At 37.2% G+C, this 21456-nt stretch overlaps 1 long non-coding RNA gene across 1 annotated transcript in view, besides 1 other annotated feature; it reads right to left on the reverse strand.

The window, feature by feature from the left end:
* LINC02307 (long intergenic non-protein coding RNA 2307) overlaps positions 1-21456 on the reverse strand; it is a 395530-nt gene that overhangs the window by 324007 nt on the left and 50067 nt on the right. The window lies entirely within an intron of this gene.
* Positions 1761-2960: an enhancer, noted in NCBI's record as "P300/CBP strongly-dependent group 1 enhancer chr14:44785502-44786701 (GRCh37/hg19 assembly coordinates)". NCBI's record gives its function as "activates an origin of replication core promoter dependent on BRD2, BRD4, P300/CBP, MED14 and CDK7 cofactors, with strong dependence on P300/CBP, by STARR-seq in HCT116 cells {active_cell/tissue: HCT116}" and the evidence as "EXISTENCE:reporter gene assay evidence [ECO:0000049][PMID:35650434]".

The following is a 21456-nucleotide window of genomic DNA, read 5'->3' on the forward strand; positions in this document are numbered from 1 at the left end:
AGCCATCCCATTACTGGGTATATACCCAAAGGATTATAAATCATGCTGCTATAAAGACACATGCACATGTATGTTTATTGTGGCACTATTCACAATAGCAAAGACTTGGAACCAACTCATATGTCCCACAATAATAGACTGGATTAAGAAAATGTGGCACATATACACCATGGAATACTATGCAGCCATAAAAAATGATGAGTTCATGTCCTTTGTAGGGACATGGATGAAGCTGGAAACCATCATTCTCAGCAAACTATCACAAGGATAAAAAGTCAAACACCGCATGTTCTCACTCATAGGTGGGAATTGAACAATGAGAACAGATGGACACAGGAAGGGGAACATCACGCACTGGGGCCTGTTGTGGGGTGGGGGACGGGGGAAGGACAGCATTAGGAGATATACCTAATGTCCAATGAGGAGATACTGGGTGCAGCACACCAAGATGGCACATGTATACATATGTAACAAACCTGCACATTGTGCACATGTGCCCTAGAACTTAAAGTATAATACAAAAAAAAAAAAAACTTGGTTTTTCCCTACTATACATGCCCATGCATGATGCTATGCCAAACCACATGCTAGCCTCCAGGAGAGGGTACTATGAAGACCTTCAATATTACCTCATTAAAGAAAAATCATAAAGAACAAAACACTGACTCCAAATGAATGCCATGGACTTTCTAAAACATATTTTCTCCTATTTAAGTGAGTGTTAAGAAAAAAATAGTGCAAATTTTACTATTACATTAATATGTCTCTTAACAAAGTTTATTAACATATGAAGGAAATATGTCACTAGAAATAATTTTTAAGCATATCTGCAAATATGTCTTTTCACAGAAATATTTTCTTCTCCCTGTGTTCTTGCACCTCCTTTTTTTTTCCTAGTTCATGAGCTTCTTGTAATCCACCCTAGGAAAATCTAATTTCAAAGCTTTACTTCCTAAAAATAATAAAAACAGGAAATCAGCAGCTGTTCAATTCTCCTGAGTTAATTTTCCAACTATTCCTTCAATATGACACTTAAATCTTATTACAATATTCCTCCAAACATTATATTTCCTGCAGTGAATAATATACATAAGAAATTCTAATGCACAAAGAGAAAGGCAGAAATGAAAAACAGCTTATTGATACAGAAGATGGATATTTTGGTAGTAGCATCACATAGAGTTTCTCATCAGCAGTGAACATCTGCTTCCATTCATTATGATTTTATTTTGCAAATTCCAGTGGCCATATGACAGCATTGCCATATATTGGAAATGCAAGAGTAGGAGCAGAAAGGGGGTGATCTTTTTTTCCCCCATCATAAGGGGCGTGGCACTCCTATAACAAAAGACAGGTTAACAATAAAAAGGCACAATATATATTTTTAAAACAAAGTTCTACATGACATGGGAGCCCTCAGAATAAAGACCCAAAGATACAGGAAAAGCTATCTATTTTTATGCCTAGGTTCAATGAAGAATGGACAAGTGGGCAGACTTGTGATTGGACAAGAAGGGCACGCCCTAACGGAAACAGGCTGAGTGGTGAAACCCAGCAATGCTGTCTGTTGAGATTCTTCTTGGCCTCTCTATGCAGTATTTTCTTTCTCCCTGTATAAGGCATGACCCTATCTGGAATACAGGAATGGGGGTGTTATGGCCTACTATCAAACAAAGTAGGCCGGAAAATTTATTTATGGCCAGTTCTTACCCAAAAAGGCAGAGGTGGGTTAGAGCAACATTTTTAGGTTTTAAGGCTCACTTTGAGGGAGGGGATGCTGGTTTCTATAATTAGCTTTAGGGAAGAAGCATGCTTGTTTCTAAGACCTGTGCGGAGGAAAGTAAGGGGTAAAAGAAAGGAGAGCAGGAGAAGGTCAGAAAGAAACTGGGTTTTGTTACTGTTGTGTTTTGTTGTTGTTGTTGTTTTAGAGCTTTTTTGAGACAGAGTCTTGCTCTGTTGTCCAGGCGGGAGTGCAGTGGCGCAATCTCAGCTCACTGAAACCTCCACCTCCTGGGTTCAAGTGATTCTCCTGCCTCAGCCACCTGAGTAGCTGGTATTACAGGTATGTGCCATCACGCCCACTAATTTTTGTTTTCTTAATAGAGATTGGGTTTTGCCATATTCGCCAGGCTGGTCTCAAACTCCTGACTTCAAGTGATCCACCCACCTCAACCAACCAAAGTGCTGGGATTACAGGGTTGAGCCACCACATCCAGCCCAAAAGAAACTGTGTTTTTAGGCTGCTTCTGAGTCCTTCACTTTGGGGTACTGTTTTCTAAGTCTCAACATAAATGTTCAAGAAAAATTCTGTAATACTTTCTATAAAAATACAGTACCACTACCCTATTCACAGTTTCACTTTGTGCAGTTTCAGTTATCTGTGGTCAACTGCAATCCAAAAATATTGAATGAAAAATACCGGAAATAAGTAATTCATAAATTATAAATTGTGTGCCATTCTGAGTATTGTAATAAAATCTCACACCATCCAACTCTGAGTCATCCGTTTGTTTGGTGTATGCATGAGTCACCCCTTTGGTGTATGCATGAGTCACCTCTTTGTCTGGTGTATGCATGCTGAACACGCACTGCCCACACGTTAGTCACTTGGTGGACCTCTCAGTTATCAGATTGACTGTTGGGGTATTACAGTGTTTGTATTCAAGAACCCTTATTTTACTTAATAATAGCCCCAAAGCACAAGAATAGTGATCCTGGCATATTGTTTTAATTGTTCCATTTTATTACTAGTTATTGTTGTAAATCTCTTACTGTTGCAGGACTTTCTCCTTAGTTCATCTAAACGTGGAGTCCTTGTCACACAGCCATGAAATATTAGGCTCGCAGACAGTTTGAAGGGTAAGAAAAATGATATTTATTGGGTAAAAGCAAAAGAGGGGTGGGGGAAAACAGGCAGAGTCTGCAAAGCCAGAGTCCTGCTAGTGCCCTTCCCGCCTCTCAGACTGAATCCCAAGTACCACCCAAGAAGAAGAGGGGCCAGGCTCCTCCCCACTGTAAATGGCGCAAACTTCCCAAGGCTCCACCAGTGTACAGTCCTCCCAGTGTGCAGGTTGGTTGGAGGTTCTACCAGGGAGCCCTTCTCACCTGGCTGTCTCATTACTGTGCCTATCTTGTAAATTAAGCTTTATCACAGGTACATATGTGTAGGGAAAAAACATAGTGTACATATTATTTGGTACTATCCTTTGTTTCAGAAAGCCACTGGGAGTCTCAGTCCTGTGGATAAGGGGGGACTACTGTAAAAGTCAAGAAATAATTTAAAATATTATATGTTAAAAACAAACAATAAATGAACAATAGGGGCCCAGATTTAAGTACAACACCATTGTATATGATACATGATTTCCTTACAATAAACTTGATTACCCAGTATTTTATTTAATGATAGAATAGCAAATAATTAGTAAAATAATTTTAGCTTCTGAGAGGATATAAAACTATCTAAGTTTATTCCATTCACAAAAAGTAAAATTAATACAAGAAAGAATCTTATATTTCCTAAAAGGGTTTCCAAAGTTATATCTTCTATGTCTGAAACAATGTTGGGCATTACTTAAGGAACTTACTTGATAACTATGTATTTTTAAATCTGAAACAATTTACCTGAAGTGGTTACATAATATTGACTGTCAATTTTTTGAAGATTTTGTTTAATACTTTATTGCAGAGTACGTTGGTAGTACCATAGAAGATCAGATAATATAAATTACTCATTTTTCAATGATTCTATCAGAGAATATTAAATCCGGATCTTCCCACATTCTCCCTACCTGTACCTCCCATTACAGTCAATCCACAGTAGTCACTATTCACCTAACACCTCCCATGTGTTTCTATCTCTGTTCCCTGTTTCACGTGATTTCTCTCTGGCTTAAATGTTCCTGTTATGGTTTGAATGGATATGTCCCTCCAAAATTCATATGCTGGAACCTAATACTCTTTTAGGAAGTGATTAAGTACAAATGTTCCATTCTCATAAATAAGGTTAGTGCCTTTATAAAAGAATTTGAAACGAATGCCCTAGTCCCTCTTCTCTTTTTGCCCTTTCTGCTATATAAGGACACAGTATTTATTCCCTCCAGAGGATGCAGCAATAAGGCACCATCTTGGAAGCAGTGTCCTCATGGTTGGCCATGGCTGCAGCATGACCATTTCACCTTCAGCTCATATCCACATTACAGGCCGGAAGAGGGGGCAAGGGCTGAGAAGTGTGTTCACCATGTGTGCCCCTTTTCAAAACATTCTTCTGGGGGCCCACTGGGCAAATTTGTCTTCCTTATCATTGGTCATACTGGATCACGTGGCCACTCCTGGCCACAAGGCAGTCTAGGGGAGACTTACCAGATGCTGAATCTGCTGTCGCCTTGATCTTGGACTTCCCAACCTCCAGAACTATGAAAAATAACTTGTATTACTTATAAATTATCCAGTCTCTGGTATTTTCTTTAGCAGAACAAATAAACTAAGATAGTTTCCTATCTCTTTTATGACTGTTGAAAGTCTTCTCTGTCATCTAAAGACATCTCAATAATCACTTTAACAAGGAGTCTTCTTAGATTTCCTCTCCTCCCCAGTTTTAACCTTATATAATCCTTCTCTTTCTCTCTCTCTCTTTTTTTTTTTTTTTTGAGACAGAGTCTTGCTCTGTCACCCAAGCTGGAGTGCAGTGGTGCGAACTCAGCTCACTGCAAGCTCCGCCTCCCAGGTTCACGCCATTCTCCTGCCTCAGCCTCCCGAGTAGCTGGGACTACAGGTGCTCGCCACCACGCCCGGCTGATTTTTTGTATTTTTAGTAGAGACGGGGTTTCACTGTGGTCTCAATCTCCTGACCTCCTGATCCACCCACCTCGGCCTCCCAAAGTGATGGGATTACAGGCATGAGCCACTGTACCTGGCCTATAATCCTTCTCTTGTTGGAACTTTCACATCACTTGAAATTTTTTAAGGCACTTATATGTTTACGTTCAAATTGTGCTATGGTTCATTGTGCATCATTCTTATATCCATTCCCCATTACATTCATTACAGATTTGCCCTGTTACTCAACATTTAATCTTCTCTGTATAGACTATGTGCCTTCTTCTGGAGCAAGAAAGAGAATATAGCATTCTCCTATCCTCATGAAATTTATCTTAAAGCATGACCCATTCATTTTCCTTACCCTTCATATCTTGCACAGTATTTTACATATTTTGGTCATAAAAGTACTTGTAATTATTTGGTCATACACAAGGAAGTGATATTGTATATATTTTTGTCATATAAATATTTGTAATATTTGGAATTAATTTATTATAATGAGTATCAATAACATACAAAAATAATAAATATTGATAATTTTGTATGCTATGCAAAACTATTCATACATGATAAGAAGTCAATGCTTCCTCTAAAAACTGATACAGTAAAAGCAATTACTTATTTCCTTAATTTGGGATGCTACCTAACATAAAGAAAAATGAAATATTACAGAGGCTTATTTAAAAAAATAGTTTTTACATGAATGTCCCATCCTAGAGGCAAGATCAAACTTAATTAACATCAGTAGAGATTCCTTAAACACATCAAATTTTATAAAGCACCTTCTGGGTGACGTTATCTGCTATTACACAAAACAGAAGGGGAGTAAACTAAATTCAAGTCTAATCATAGAAGCACCAGCAATTAAAACTGTTTTCAAATAATTTACAAATACATGTACTGCATAAATTCATTTTTGCACACAATACACAGCATTAGAATTATAAGAAAGACAAAGTGTGTGGCAAAGTTAGAGGATAATTGCAATTGTTTGTGATAATTGCAATTGTTGTATGCAAATTTCTCTATATAACTTGCATATGATCATATACATGGGATTTATTTCAGCAGTCTCCTAAAAACTCAAGTTTACTTCTTTTTCTTTTGGCAATTAGATTATCTCCCATGTGTAGGCCAAAGAAATCATGAATATTAATAGATAGGTGTGTCCAAAAAATTGCTTCACCAATGTGATGAAAGATACTTTTGCATTTGCATCCATACAGGCCATTATTTCCCCACTAAACAGAAAGATGAAAATAATATCAAGTTTCTTATATATCATCATTATCATCATCACCATCAGCATCAAGCTATTGAGAAAATATTTTTAAGGTTCTTTACATTTCCTGAATAAAACTTATAAAGAGATATTTCTACCCTATAATTTGAATGTACCTCTCAGTCAAATCTTAGGATCTTTTGCTCAAACTGCAGCTATGTTTATATCAGGTAGTAACAGAAATCCACCCTCTCACCAAGAAAAACACGTTTCTACGTACAACTGCCACTTGGTTATAGACAAAGTGTTAGCCATAATCCACTGTTTTAAACTAACATATGTAAATAAATGGAAAGATAGTAAGCGACTGTACTGATTTATTGAAATTTTATTTTTTGTAGAATAGTGTTTCCATAAATAAAACTAGAAACTAGAACAGCATTTTTCAAACCAAATAAATTCTACTACCCATTACACAAAAACAAAGAATTACTAGGAAAGGTCTATTCACTATATTTTCAATGAAAAGGATTGTCCTGAAAATCATATCCAGGAGTTTCTGGTACACAATAGATTAGAGTCTGTTCAGACTGTGTGTGTGTGTGTGTGTGTGTGTGTGTGTGTGTGGTGGGTGTGTGGGTGTGTACCACTCATGCACAAACATGGTGACAAAGTATCTTTTACCTTTTCCTGCTACTGATTAGTCTTATGTTGGATGATTTTGCCCTGACATGGTTCCTCTAATAGTGCTATAGATCTTGCTACAAAGTTTTGAATCAGGATTAGCACATATTTTCTGGAAAGAGCCAGATAGTAAATATTTTAGGATTTGTGGGCCATTTATGTTATCTGTTGTATATTCTTCCATTTTTTTATTTTCTGTAGAGATGGGGTTTTGCCATCTTGGCCAGGCTGGTCTTGAAATCCTGACCTTGCGATCCACCCACCTCAGCCTCCCAAAGTGCTGGGATTACAGGCGTGAGCCACTGCACCTGGCCATTTTTTAAACACTTTAGACAGATCAACGAGACAGAAAGTTAACAAGGATACCCAGGAATTGAACTCAGCTCTGCACCAAGCAGACCTAATACACATCTACAGAACTCTACACCCCATATCAAGAGAATATACATTTTTTTCAGCACCACACCACACCTATTCCAAAATTGACCACATAGTTGGAAGTAAAGCTCTCCTCAGCAAATGTAAAAGATCAGAAATTATAACAAACTGTCTCTCAGACCACAGTGCAATCAAACTGGAACTCAGGATTAAGAAACTCACTCAAAACCACTCAACTACATGGAAACTGAACAACCTGCTCCTGAATGACTACTGGGTACATAACGAAATGAAGGCAGAAATAAAGATGTTCTTTGAAACCAACGAGAACAAAGACACAACATACCAGAATCTCTGGGACACATTCAAAGCAGTGTGTAGAGGGAAATTTATAGCACCAAATGCCCACGAGAGAAACCAGGAAAGATCCAAAATTGACACCCTGACATCACAATTAAAAGAACTAGAAAAGCAAGAGCACACACATTCAAAAGCTAGCAGAAGGCAAGAAATAACTAAAATCATAGCAGAACTGAAGGAAATAGAGACACAAAAAACCCTTCAAAAAATTAATGAATCCAGGAGCTGGTTTTTTGAAAGGATCAATAAAATTGATAGACCGCTAGCAAGACTAATAAAGAAGAAAAGAGAGAAGAACCGAATAGACGCAATAAAAAATGATAAAGGGGATATCACTACCGATCCCACAGAAATACAAACTACTATCAGAGAATATTATAAACACCTCTACGCAAATAAACTAGAAAATCTAGAAGAAATGGATAAATTCCTCGACACATACACTCTCCCAAGTCTAAACCAGGAAGAAGTTGACTCTCTGAATAGACCAATAACAGGCGCTGAAATTGTGGCAATAATCAATAGTTTACCAACCAAAAAGAGTCCAGGACCAGATGGATTCACAGCCGAATTCTACCAGAGGTACAAGGAAGAGCTGGTACCATTCCTTCTGAAACTATTCCATTCAATAGAAAAAGAGGGAATCCTCCCTAACTCATTTTATGAGGCCAGCATCATCCTGATACCAAAGCCGGGCAGAGACACAATAAAAAAAGAGAATTTTAGACCAATATCCTTGATGAATATTGATGCAAAAATCCTCAATAAAATACTGGCAAACCGAATCCAGCAGCACATCAAAAAGCTTATCCACCATGATCAAGTGGGCTTCATCCCTGGGATGCAAGGCTGGTTCAATATATGCAAATCAATAAATGCAATCCAGCATATAAACAGAACCAAAGACAAAAACCACATGATTATCTCAATAGATTCAGAAAAGGCCTTTGATAAAATTCAACAACCCTCCATGCTAAAAACTCTCAATAAATTAGGTATTGATGGGATGTATCTCAAAATAATAAGAGCTATCTATGACAAACCCACAGCCAATATCATACTGAATGGGCAAAAACTGGAAGCATTCCCTTTGAAAACTGGCACAAGACAGGGATGCCCTCTCTCACCACTCCTATTCAACATAGTGTTGGAAGTTCTGGCCAGGGCAATTAGGCAAGAGAAGGAAATAAAGGGTATTCAATTAGGAAAAGAGGAAGTCAAATTGTCCCTGTTTGCAGATGACATGATTGTATATCTAGAAAACCCCATTGTCTCAGCCCAAAATCTCCTTAAGCTGATAAGCAACTTCAGCAAAGTCTCAGGATACAAAATCAACGTACAAAAATCACAAGCATTCTTATACACCAATAAGAGACAAACAGAGAGCCAAATCATGAGTGAACTCCCATTCACAATTGCTTCAAAGAGAATAAAATACCTAGGAATCCAACTTACAAGGGACATGAAGGACCTCTTCAAGGAGAACTACAAACCACTGCTCAATGAAATAAAAGAGGATACAAACAAATGGAAGAACATTCCATGCTCATGGGTAGGAAGAATCAATATCGTGAAAATGGCCATACTGCCCAAGGTAATTTATAGATTCAATGTCATCCCCATCAAGCTACCAATGACTATCTTCACAGAATTGGAAAAAACTACTTTAAAGTTCATATGGAACCAAAAAATAGCCCGCATTGCCAAGTCAATCCTAAGCCAAAAGAACAAAGCAGGAGGCATCACGCTACCTGACTTCAAACTATACTACAAGGCTACAGTAACCAAAACAGCACGGTACTAGTACCAAAACAGAGATATAGATCAATGGAACAGAACAGAGCCCTCAGAAATAACGCCACATATCTACAACTATCTGATCTTTGACAAACCTGACAAAAACAAGCAATGGGGAAAGGATTCCCTGTTTAATAAATGGTGCTGGGAAAACTGGCTAGCCATATGTAGAAAGCTGAAACTGGATCCCTTCCTTATACCTTATACAAAAATTAATTCAAGATGGATTAAAGACTTAAATGTTAGACCTAAAACCATAAAAACCCTAGAAGAAAACCTAGGCATTACCATTCAGGACATAGGCATGGGCAAGGACTTCATGTCTAAAACACCAAAAGCAACGGCAACAAAAGACAAAATTGACAAATGGGATCTAATTAAACTAAAGAGCTTCTGCACAGCAAAAGAAACTACCATCAGAGTGAACAGGCAACCTACAAAATGGGAGAAAATTTTCGCAACCTACTCATCTGACAAAGGGCTAATATCCAGAATCTACAATGAACTCCAACAAATTTACAAGAAAAAAACAAACAACCCCATCACAAAGTGGGCGAAGGACATGAACAGATACTTCTCAAAAGAAGACATTTATGCAGCCAAAAAACACATGAAAAAATGCTCACCGTCACTGGCCATCAGAAAAATGCAAATCAAAACCACAATGAGATACCATCTCGCACCAGTTAGAATGGCGATCATTAAAAAGTCAGCAAACAACAGGTGCTGGAGAGGATGTGGAGAAATAGGAACACTTTTACACTGTTGGTGGAACTGTAAACTAGTTCAACCATTGTGGAAGTCAGTGTGGCGATTCCTCAGGGATCTAGAACTAGAAATACCATTTGACCCAGCCATCCCTTTACTGGGTATATACCCAAATGACTATAAATCATGCTGCTATAAAGACACATGCACACGTATGTTTATTGCGGCACTATTCACAATAGCAAAGACTTGGAACCAACCCAAATGTCCAAAAATGATAGACTGGATTAAGAAAATGTGGCACATATACACCATGGAATACTATGCAGCCATAAAAAATGATGAGTTCATGTCCTTTGTAGGGACATGGATGAAATTGGAAATCATCATTGTCAGTAAACTATCATGAGAACAAAAAACCAAACACCGCATATTCTCACTCATAGGTGGGAATTGAACAATGAGAACACATGGACACAGGAAGGGGAACATCACACTCTGGGGACTGTTGTGGGGTGGGGGGAGGGGGAAGGGATAGCTTTAGGAGATATACCTAATGCTAAATGATGAGTTAATGGGTGCAGCACACCAGCATGGCACATGTATACATATGTAACTAACCTACACATTGTGCACATGTACCCAAAAACTTAAAGTATAATAATAATACAATAAAAAAAATAAAAAAATAACAAAATGTAAAAAACATCCTTAGCTCCTGGGACTTTTAAAAACAGGACACAGACTAAATTTGATCCATGGGCATAGTTTGCCAACCCCTGCTTTCAATTATCAATAGCCATGTTGCAAGTTATTTAGTAGGTTTCAGTAAATGTTTACCAAATACAAAACCTCAGTTCTTAGGGTTTGGAAATGGAATGTAATCAGTATACTTGGTGTTGCCTTAGGAGGAGCTTCCAAATTCTGCTTCTTACATGAGCTCCACTTTAGATGGTACTTATCCCATCACTTTTGAGCTGCTCCACTCTGCTCAAAAAGTTCAAACCATGGAGATTTTAAAAGTTCACTAGCTCTCTGCTCTCTCTCTCTCTCTCTCTCTCCCCCCCCCCATCTCTACCTCTCTCTCTCTCACATACACAATGCACACATACACAAAACACAAGCACACCCTTTTCTGCATCAGATAGATACAAAGCAGCTGAATGGAGATTTTCTTCTACACCTGAGGAAAAAGAACATTCTTAATTTGGTTACACTTTTAAGCTATGTCTTTCTAAGTGTATCACTCCTGCCTGAAGGCAATCTATCTTATTTGCTTTCTTCTGTTCAGATTTCTTGGATAGCTATGAATTTTTCTACTTAATCCAATAAATATTTATCAAGCACCTAATATGACCACAGTAAGCTTCCCAATTTTAATGTGGATACAAGTCATCCTAGGATATGGTTAAAGTGCAGACTTTGATTCATCGGGTTTGAGTTGAGGTCTGAGACTCCACATGTCTAAGGAGTGCTACGTGATGCTGATGCTGAGGATTTTGTCAACCATATTTTGAGAAGCAAGATAGTGAAGAATGCATGTGAGTATAGGGTTAGTTACAATCCAGTAGTGGTGAGTACTATTTGAGGAAAATCTACTTTGGAAGCAAATAAACTTGAACAGAATACAGATGTTAAAATTCAGGAAAAAATTCCTAGAGGGTATATGAACAAAACAGCCCCTTAGGGAGAGGAAGGGTTATGCAGATTAAGCACGCAAGGAAAGGAGAAATGGGAAGAAAGCTGGAATTCCTGGCAGAAGGGGATACTGCAAAGCAGATGTTAAGTGGCTATTAGAAAAATGTATGAAACACCAGGACAGTGGGTAATCTAGAAGATAAAGAAAGGAGTATTTAAAGACAGAATGAACAACAGTAGTTCAGTTTAGAAATGAGTTTTATAGTGTCTGTTAGATTTAACAGCAAAGACGTATTTGGTGATATAGTGAAAATAATTTTAGTAGTTACATGGATGAAAAAGGCAGAGTATAGCAAGTTGAAGAATGTTTGGGAGTAAGGAAAGTAGGGCCTGTTATTTTGTGCGTTTTTGATGTAAGATATTTCAGTCTGTTTAAATCCGTTTGGAAAGAAGGAAGTAGGGAGAAATTGAAGACACAAGGAAGGGGGGAAATAATCAGTGCAATATGCACCCTGAGAAAGAAAGAGATGAAATCTGGAGCCAAACTGGGAAGATTATCTCAGGAAGTTCCTAGGTATAGTTCATTGTAACAGAAGGGAAGAAATAAAAAATGAAAGACTTAGCCAAGTCTGTATGTTTGTTGGTAGAAAGTTGGAGGGTTTCCTACCTGTGCTTCCTATGATCACTGGAAATTAAGAAGTACATTTATATTCTGAGGGAAAAGACAATAAGACCAGGAGTTTCTAAAACATGAAAAAGGTTGTCCATATGGAAAATGGAAAAGAAATGTAGCTGACAGAACAGTGAAGGATTTATTTCATGAGTATGCATCCCGACTGTTTTGTGTTTTTATGATAGAAGAGACCATGGATTGACGGTGATAGCCATCTTAGACTCTTTCCACACTAGCAGGAATCATGTCTCCCTTCGCCAAGACAGAACTTCTAAGCTCAGCCAGGTCCTAGTTTTCTGGATGAATTTCATCCCACCTCCCCTGTTTTAAGTCCCAAGCCTGTTTTTTGGGACTGGACTCTCAGGTTATTGGTACAGATCTATCGTTAATTCAGAGATATTCAAAGATATACTCCATGAGACTTATTTTCTGTGTCCTCTCACTTCCCTATGGTTACTCAATTCCCTACACACACACACTTATTTGTCTAGGCTCAAAACTCTCCATTTACGTATCTTGCTTACAGTTCTTACAAACAGGGCTGCACTAAATGTCTCCTAGAGGAATTTCTAACAGTCATACACCTAAAGATATTAAATATTCCCAAATGTCCTTGACACTTTGATAAGGTCCTACTTCTCCTTATGTGCAGAATCCACATATTTCCATTTATTCACTGATGATTGATTAGTGCAGTCTCTAACCATCACCCCCAACTTTAGAAGAATTACAGAAAATCTTATTTTCTTTATAATATCCATCTTTGATTCAAGACCAAGTTTGACAAAGATTTAATAAAATCAGTCAAAGATATATGAGTGACCTCTCTTTCTGAGTAAAAATCTGCAGCTTGATTCCTATTCACAAATGCTGTTATAAGGCTTTACATAGGATAAAGAATTTCTAGTAGAGAATCATCTGGAAGAAATTAATTGATGGAATAATCATATTTCCTCTCCCTGTATTAGTGGAAAGAAGTATGGTAGGGCAAAGGGAGTGAGGTGGGGTGTTCAATACAATTTAACATCCAAACTGTTTTAGGAAAGCAATATGATATATCTGTTATGAATGTGGTTTCTGGTGGCATCACCCTGACTGATTCTATGATTTAGGCAAATTAACCTAAGCCTCAGTTTGGTCCTCTGTAAAGTGAGAATATTAATAATGCCTACCTCATATGGGTTGTTGCCAGGACTAAATGGCACATTCTATATACAGCAGCCTGGAATCAGTCTGCCCTGGTGTAGATGTGTATTTTATCAATGATATTTATAATTTCCCAAGCACTTGGTGATAAGATAACAGACTGACTTTAACTTTATTCTATAATTAGTTTTAAACTCTCTACAAACAAATCACTACCCTGTTGCTTGCCTCCTGGGGAAGACTACTCTGTTATATTTTAATAAAATGGGTTGTTGTTATATTTTAACAAAATGCATATCAAATTCTGAAGTTACATTTATCAAAGAATTAAGATAATAAATAAGGTTAATGACATCACATTTTAAGTATACATTTGTGAAAATTTACTATGTTTTATATTGTTAATTTACTTTACTTAATATTGAGTTGACTTAGGCCAGAAAAAAATGTGCTACATTACAGTGGAATTGAGAGTGCTGATATCCTGCAGTAGAGTTATGCGCTAATTTCTTGAAGACCCAGTTAACTCATCAATATGGATCAGCTTCAATGCTACCTGTTAGCAATTAAAATCCCCTCACATTTTACAAAAGTTCCATAAAATTTCTGGACACTTCTTTTTTCTCCATATATATTTCACATCTAGGCATTTCCTGAGTTCTAGGACACATAGATATCCAAAGCAAACAGTAAACCCAGGCACAAGCTTCTCATTTCTACTCTTTTTGCCCAGCAAAGGAAGACAGAGCATCCCCCTTCAGAATATGAAATCATGATTCAGGATGTGTTGAGTCCTAACCCTTTGCTTCCCAAGATGGGCTTCCGCACACAGTAAAACATGCTTAAACCAAACCTGAAAGGAAATCCATCTATTTCTCTCTCCCTCTCCCCTCCAAGTCCCCTGCAACCCTTCCCTTCCTTCCTTTCTCTCTTCTTCCTTCTCCCTTCCTCCCTTTCCTCCCTTTCTTTCTTCCTCTCTCCTCATTTTCTCTTCTTCTTCTTCCCCATCCCTCCCTCTTTCCATTACTCTCATTTCATTCATACACATACTCACACATACCCATTGCTTCTGCTAAAAATAAATTTTTCTAGCAAACCTCCAAGTTTAACACCTAAAACATGAGAATGTTTCTCTAAAGTAACTTGTAGATAGCTGTGCTTTGCTTTACATTTTTTAACATGTGTTTTCCTGACCTATGTATTGTTTTGGAAATCTATAATTAGTAAAACATAAACCTACTATTTTTATTTTCCATCTGCCAGATGCCAAGTTGTCTCTAGAGTCCCTCAAAGAACAGAATCCAACATGGCTCTTTTCATTTGCATTCTTGTTTACAAGAGTGGGTGACAATGACAGCTGAAATAAATAGCCACAGCTTAGAGAAAATGATTTTGTTTCTTAATTGTTAGTGGGCTGTGATCAGGAAAAGCCCAGGAATGAAACAGAAGCCAGCTTCAAAAAAATGATGATTCTTTTCATTTTTAATTCTATTTCTTTTAATTTTTCTGAATCTACTCTTCTTTTAATTTTTCAGAATCAACTATGATGAATTTTAACAGTATTATCTTTAATTACTGAAGCAACTTCACCTGAACTTAGGCTATTCTTAGGCTATCATTGAGATCACTCTGAAGTTGAATAGATTCTTCCAACAATTAGCACTGTTTTTAGTAAAGAAGGTAGTCAAAAAGGATAACTTGAAAAAATATGTTCTTTATAAGAGTTATTAATGGGACAAGGATGTAACTTTGAAATACATAGAGAGGTGATGGGAATTTAAGAAAGAAATGACGTAATTTTTGAATTTGGTAAGCCTATATAGTACAGTGAGTTGGCTAACAATTGAATTTCTCTATCTACCCCACCTACCTGGAATGCCCTTCTACTTATCACTTAGGACAAGAATATTATGAAGAAAAATAAATTATTTTAAAAACCAATTCCATCAGTCAAAGACAATATTATTAGAGTCCTAATCTAATGTATTCTCTGGTTAAAATAATTCTGCCTTCTACCTGTCCTAATCCTTTTAGATGGGCTGCTGGGTGGCAGCAAGGGGTGGGAAAATAATCGAGACAAGTCATCACAAATAATAACATAAGCCATTCCCAAAAGCCACCACCTTCCTGTGGTGGTTTCTTCAGAAGCCTCCAGGTATGCAATACCCAAAAATTAATGAACTCACACATTCAATACAATGTCTTTTATTTATAAGGTGTTTTTATTTATATACCAATCTTCTATTATTCATGTATAGCCCTTGTACCTCATTCTTTTCTCACAATAAAAGGTCCTTCCACACTCCCCCTTTAACTATCCTCTAATGTGTGAGCCAGTTGGAACATTAGTTACTCCACCCCTAATTACAACTTACATTATTTGCTTATAAATTGGCTCATTATAATATCATAAACAGGAGAAGGAAATCCCACATCTGGGGTAAAGAGCAAAGTTCCCCAAGTCAATCTCAGGTAGCCTGTTTCTTCATTTGGTTAAGCTCCCACCATGCTCTTGGATTTCTTCATTCTTATAATGGCAAGTTTACAACACTACACATTCAAGAAATATTTATTGAATGCTCACTAGGATCAGGCACTGTTGCAGATTCTTTGGATACTGCATTGATCAAGAGAGTAAAAACTATGACATCCCTTAAGAAGCTTGCATTCTTTTGGAAGAAGACAGATACCAAATACCAAAAATAATAAATGAGGAAATTATTTAGTATGATAGAAGTAATAAATGCTATAAAAGATAAAAAGCATGCATTGGTAAGGTGGATAAAAAAGAGATGGAATGGCAGAGCATTTGCATTTCACAAGAAGATTCTGATCAGTATTCACCAAAAAAAATGACATTAGAAGGAAGGTATGTCCTATGTTTACCCCTAGTCTTTACTATTGCTCATAATGGTACACCTCAAAAATCACCAAATAAACATGTACAAATGCTCTTTGACTTACAATGGGGTTATGTGCCAATAAGTCTATTGTAAATTGAAAATATCATAAATCAAAAATGTGTTTAATACACTAACCTGTCAAACATCAGACTTTAGCTTAGCCTACCTTAAATGCGCTTAAAACACTTACATTAGCCTACAGTTGGGCAAAATCATCTGGCAACACAGTACACTTCAGAGTATAATTTGTTTGCCCTCGTGATCAATCACTGACTAACTGGGACCTGCAACTCGGCTTGCTATCCAACATTGCAAAACAGTGTCCTACCACATATTGCTGGCCCAGAAAAAGATCAAAAAGATTTTAAAAAGTATGGTTTCTACTGAATGTGTATCACTCTTGTACCATCATAAAGTTGAAAATTGTAAATCAAACTGTTGTAAGTCGTAAGTGGGGATTGTCTGTATATTCTCTATTGGCTAAAAATAATAAATTTCTCACTTTTAATACAATAGGTTTCACTCTCATCTACTGTATTAGTTCATTTTCACACTGCTATAAAGAACTGCCTGAGACTGGGTAATTTATAAAAGAGAGAGTTTTAATTAACTCACAGTTCTGCATGGCTGCAGAGGGCTCAGAAAACTTAGAATCATGGCGGAAGGTGAAGGGGAAGCAAGGCACCTTCAACACAAGGCAGCAGGAAGGAGAATGAATGCAGAAGGAACTACCAAACACTTATAAAACCATCAGATCTCATGAGAACTCACTCACTATCACAAGAACAGCACGGGGAAATTGCCCACATGATTCAGTTACCTCCACCTGGTCTCTCCCTTGACATTAGGGATTATGGGAATTATGGAGATTACAATTCAAGATGATGTTTACATGGGGACACAGCCAAACCATATCATTTACTCTTCTACAAAAGCAGACAATTTTAGCACCTAGGTGGTCTACTTCTGAAACAGAAATTCATTAGTTACAGAATTATCTCTACAACCTGTCCTTACAACACACACATCATTACCATGTCATATGTAAAATAGAATAACCTTCTTTGTTTCTTCTAAGAATAAGTTAAATGCAAGGGCTTTAAAGCAGACCTATGCCATACACCAATGATTCTCAACTTTAGCCTGCATTAGAATTACCAGGAGGACTTATTAAAATACAGATGGCTGGGTATCTACCCAAGAGTGTCTGATTCAATAGATCTCAGGTGGAGACTGAGAATTTGCATTTCTAGTAAGTTTCTGGGAGATGCTGATCAGAACATAATGAGAACGACTGCTTTGCATCAATCTTTGTAAGATTATGACTTTCCAACTCAACTTTAAATGCCAAATGAAACTAACATTTTAAGCTCTAATTCCATGTAACTGAAGGCAAATGATATTATTTAATATTTACTACTTTACTGTTATTTTAATCTTTTCTTTCTACCATACACAAAAGAGGAGAGGAAATTATGTTTATTCTAACTCTACTATATGTCAGATATAATACAATCTACCAAACCAAATGAAACAAAATCTTTCTTTCAGAACCCCCAAAAACACCCTATTTGCCTGAAGATTGCATCACATTCCTAAACTTACTGTGTGTATTTCAAAGATGCTTATGGTCACTCAAGTAGGTTAGCTATAAACCCCCAAAAAAATTCACACTCTGCCTCACTGTTCTCATCAACTGTAGAAAATCCTTTATTTGTTTCATAAGAAGTCAAAACACCCTAAATAAGTATAAATTGTGAGTTTATGGATAGGAAAGGCCACAATAACTCCTTCCCAAGCATGAAAGACCCTGATCTCAAATCTTAGTCTCTAAAGAATCTGGTGTTTCATAAAAAAACAAAATCATACCCCTAATTGATGGCTGAATTCAAATGACTAGAAGCAACAAGTTGTTCAGCATTGCTTTCAGAAACCCAGTGAAATGAAGCAAAGATAGCGGCTTATGTTTTGAACAAGCTGTGAGATTGTCTCAGCTCATTTTTGTGGAACTGAAGCCTTGTCTATAAAGGTGTCTTAGGGAGAAGTGAAGCACCATGCCTATCACCACGGAAATAAGCTTTATGTGCTGTATTTGTCAAGGTCTGCTGGATATATGAGGAAAATAGCAGCAGTGACAGAGAAAATGCTTTTACCTCTTTCTAAATGAATATGGCAGATGTTGACCAGGAATAACTAAAGATTCTTCTTTCTTGGTAAAATGAGCATGTGTACTTTATAAAGACATATTCTCCAAGATATGCTTATTAAAATATGTAATTAATCATCCTCTTTAAATCTCACAAACAGAAAATATTAGAGCCAAGGCCAAAGATCTGTGTCAAAAAGCATAGCAATTCCATCTGTTGGTTAAATAAAATTATAAAGTATTCTCTGCATTCTACTGCTGTGTAACCTGGATTTTCCTAAGTACATCTGGATGTTTAAAAAGTGATCATTTTAAGAGTCATGACTGGATTACATTGATCTTGCTATTCGACTGCTTGAATTGTTCAATTCAAGATTCAAAAAATCTTGAATTACCTCAGAGACATTAGGAATGCTCTTACCTGTATCTGTGAACTGTTCCTACTGTTATCACTTGAATCTGCCATTTTTCTCCTCTTCCACTCTGTCTGCTTCAATGACAGCTTACTTTTTGGTACTTCAGCTAAAGCCTCTGCCACTGGTTAGCTGCATGAAATCACTTTAACTCTGTCTATAGTGCCCATGCTAGTAAAGTTTAGGCTTAAACTGAATCCCTTAGTATATGTAAAATTACTTTTGTAAATGTAAAGATTGTATATAGCTGACACCACAAATGAGGGCTTGCCTGATGCATTTTGCCACTTCATTTAAAAGGCATAAAATGAGAGTTATTATACGCTGAGAAAGAAGCAGCTAACCAGATGCTAATTTAGCACAAGGATTCTGGGAAATTATTGCCCTAACTATAAGTGTTTGCCCTCTTCCCTTTTCACTGGATGCTAATTACCAGTGAATTTCCCTGAGTTTTGCATTTTGCAGCTGTTACATTTAGCAGGCAGAAAGAGACTGGAGGGTGAGGCAAAGACTGAGGTGAACAGGAAAGAGAGAGGAGCCTGTAGCTAACTCCCTTGTGTACTGTATTTGATAACATCTGAGGATCAAAGTAGAAGATCTGGGGAATCTGCTCCTGAAAAGATGAAGTGGCTCTTTCCCACCATTCCTACATCAGAGGCTATAGCTCTAGACTCTGTAGCTAAGAAGGCTGGTGAACTACGTAGTTTGTACAGGGACTGATAACCTGCCACCTCCTAGAGGCAAAGACCATTAGGTCTGCCTCCCAAGAATCAAATATTCAGCCAAGACATCCTTCACCCAGCAGGGAGAATCAAACATACTTGCATATTTGCAACATTGTACAAATATGCCAGGAACCATTTTAGAGAACATTTAAGAAAGGATTCTAACCAAACAACAATGAATCCAATTACAGACCTAAAAAAATGGGCAGGTAGAGACTTCTAGTTACAGCTTCCACATGGAAAGAGCTCCTCACTCTCATCTTTACCTTAAGAAAAAAGCTACACAGACTGGAAGCCAATGATGTTTTTTGGAGCCATAGAAGAAGAAATGAAGTGACAGGACAAAATAGCACACTGAAAATTTGAGAGACAAGTGAATACAGAGAATCAGTCAAAGTCAGCTTACCAGAAGCGGAAGTTGCTATAAACTACTAGGAGCACTTAAAAGGTAACATTGAGAACAAGAACACATGGACATAGGAAGGGGAACATCACACTCTGGGGACTGTCGTGGGGTGGGGGACGGGGGAGGGATAGCATTAGGAGATATACCTAATTGTAAATGATGAGTTAATGGGTGCAGCACACCAGCATGGCACATGTATACATATGTAACTAACCTGCACATTGTGCACATGTACCCTAAAACTTAAAGTATAATAATAATAAAAGAAAAGAAAAAAAAATTCCCACAAAGGGATACCTACAATATAACTTTAATTAAAAAGTTTTGTTTACACACTTAAAAAAAAAAAAAGGTAACATTGATGAATCACTGGAGACAACGTGTGGACTAAAGTGAGAATGAGAAACTTATAGGGGTTACAGTTTTGGGAGATACCCACACTTTCATGGGTTTTTCTTCCAGGAACTCCACCAGGTTCTCATGGTGAAGAGACAAGAAAAACACTCCTGTCTCTGACAGGAGGTTGGAAAAATTTACCATTTTTTAGTACCCACAGAGTATTTTCCATAACAAAGGCCAATACTCCAAATAAAAAGGACTTTACCAGAGCCTTTTCTGATGTAAGAGAAGTGAAATTACCCAATTCCAATTCTCTACAATCTCTTTCAGAAAACAGAATCAGAGGAAGTACCTCCTAACCCATTCTATAAGGCCAGAACTATCCTATTACCAAAATTATATAGACAACAGAAGAAAGCCAATCTCTCATGAACATAGACACAAGAACCCTCCACAGTATACTGACAAACTAAATCCAGCAATGTATAATAAGAATTTTGCTCCACAACCAAATGGGGATTTATTACAGGTACGGAAGGTTGATTGTGCAATTGAAAATCAGTTAATCTACCACATTAACAGAGTAAAGAAGAAAAAGCATTTGAAAAAACCTAACACCCATTCATGATGAAAATTCTTAAGCCAGGAATAGAGAGCACCTTCTTCACCTTGATAAGAACATCTGCAAAATAGGTATAGCTGACATTATACTTAATGGTAAGAAACTGGATACTTGCCCTCTAAGATGCAAAACAAGGGAAGCATGTCTCTTCTCATCACTCCTAGTCAACATCTTACTAGAAGTCTTAGTATAAGAAGAAATGTTCTACATACGGGGAAGAGAGAAATGAAATGGTTTAGTTTACAGATGGTACGACTGCCCATACAGAAAATTTCAGAGAATCAACAAAACAACTCCTGATATGAATAAGTGATTATAGAAAGGTAGCAGAATAGAAGGTTAAAAGCAAGTCAGTTGATTTCTGTATGGTAGCAATAAGCAATTTGAACGTGAAATTATAAACACAATGCCATTTATGTTATCACCAAAAAAAAAAACCAGGTATAAATCTAACAAACTATGTACAAGATCAACA

This window comes from Homo sapiens, chromosome 14, assembly GCF_000001405.40.
Source record: "Homo sapiens chromosome 14, GRCh38.p14 Primary Assembly".
NCBI lineage: Eukaryota > Metazoa > Chordata > Mammalia > Primates > Hominidae > Homo > Homo sapiens.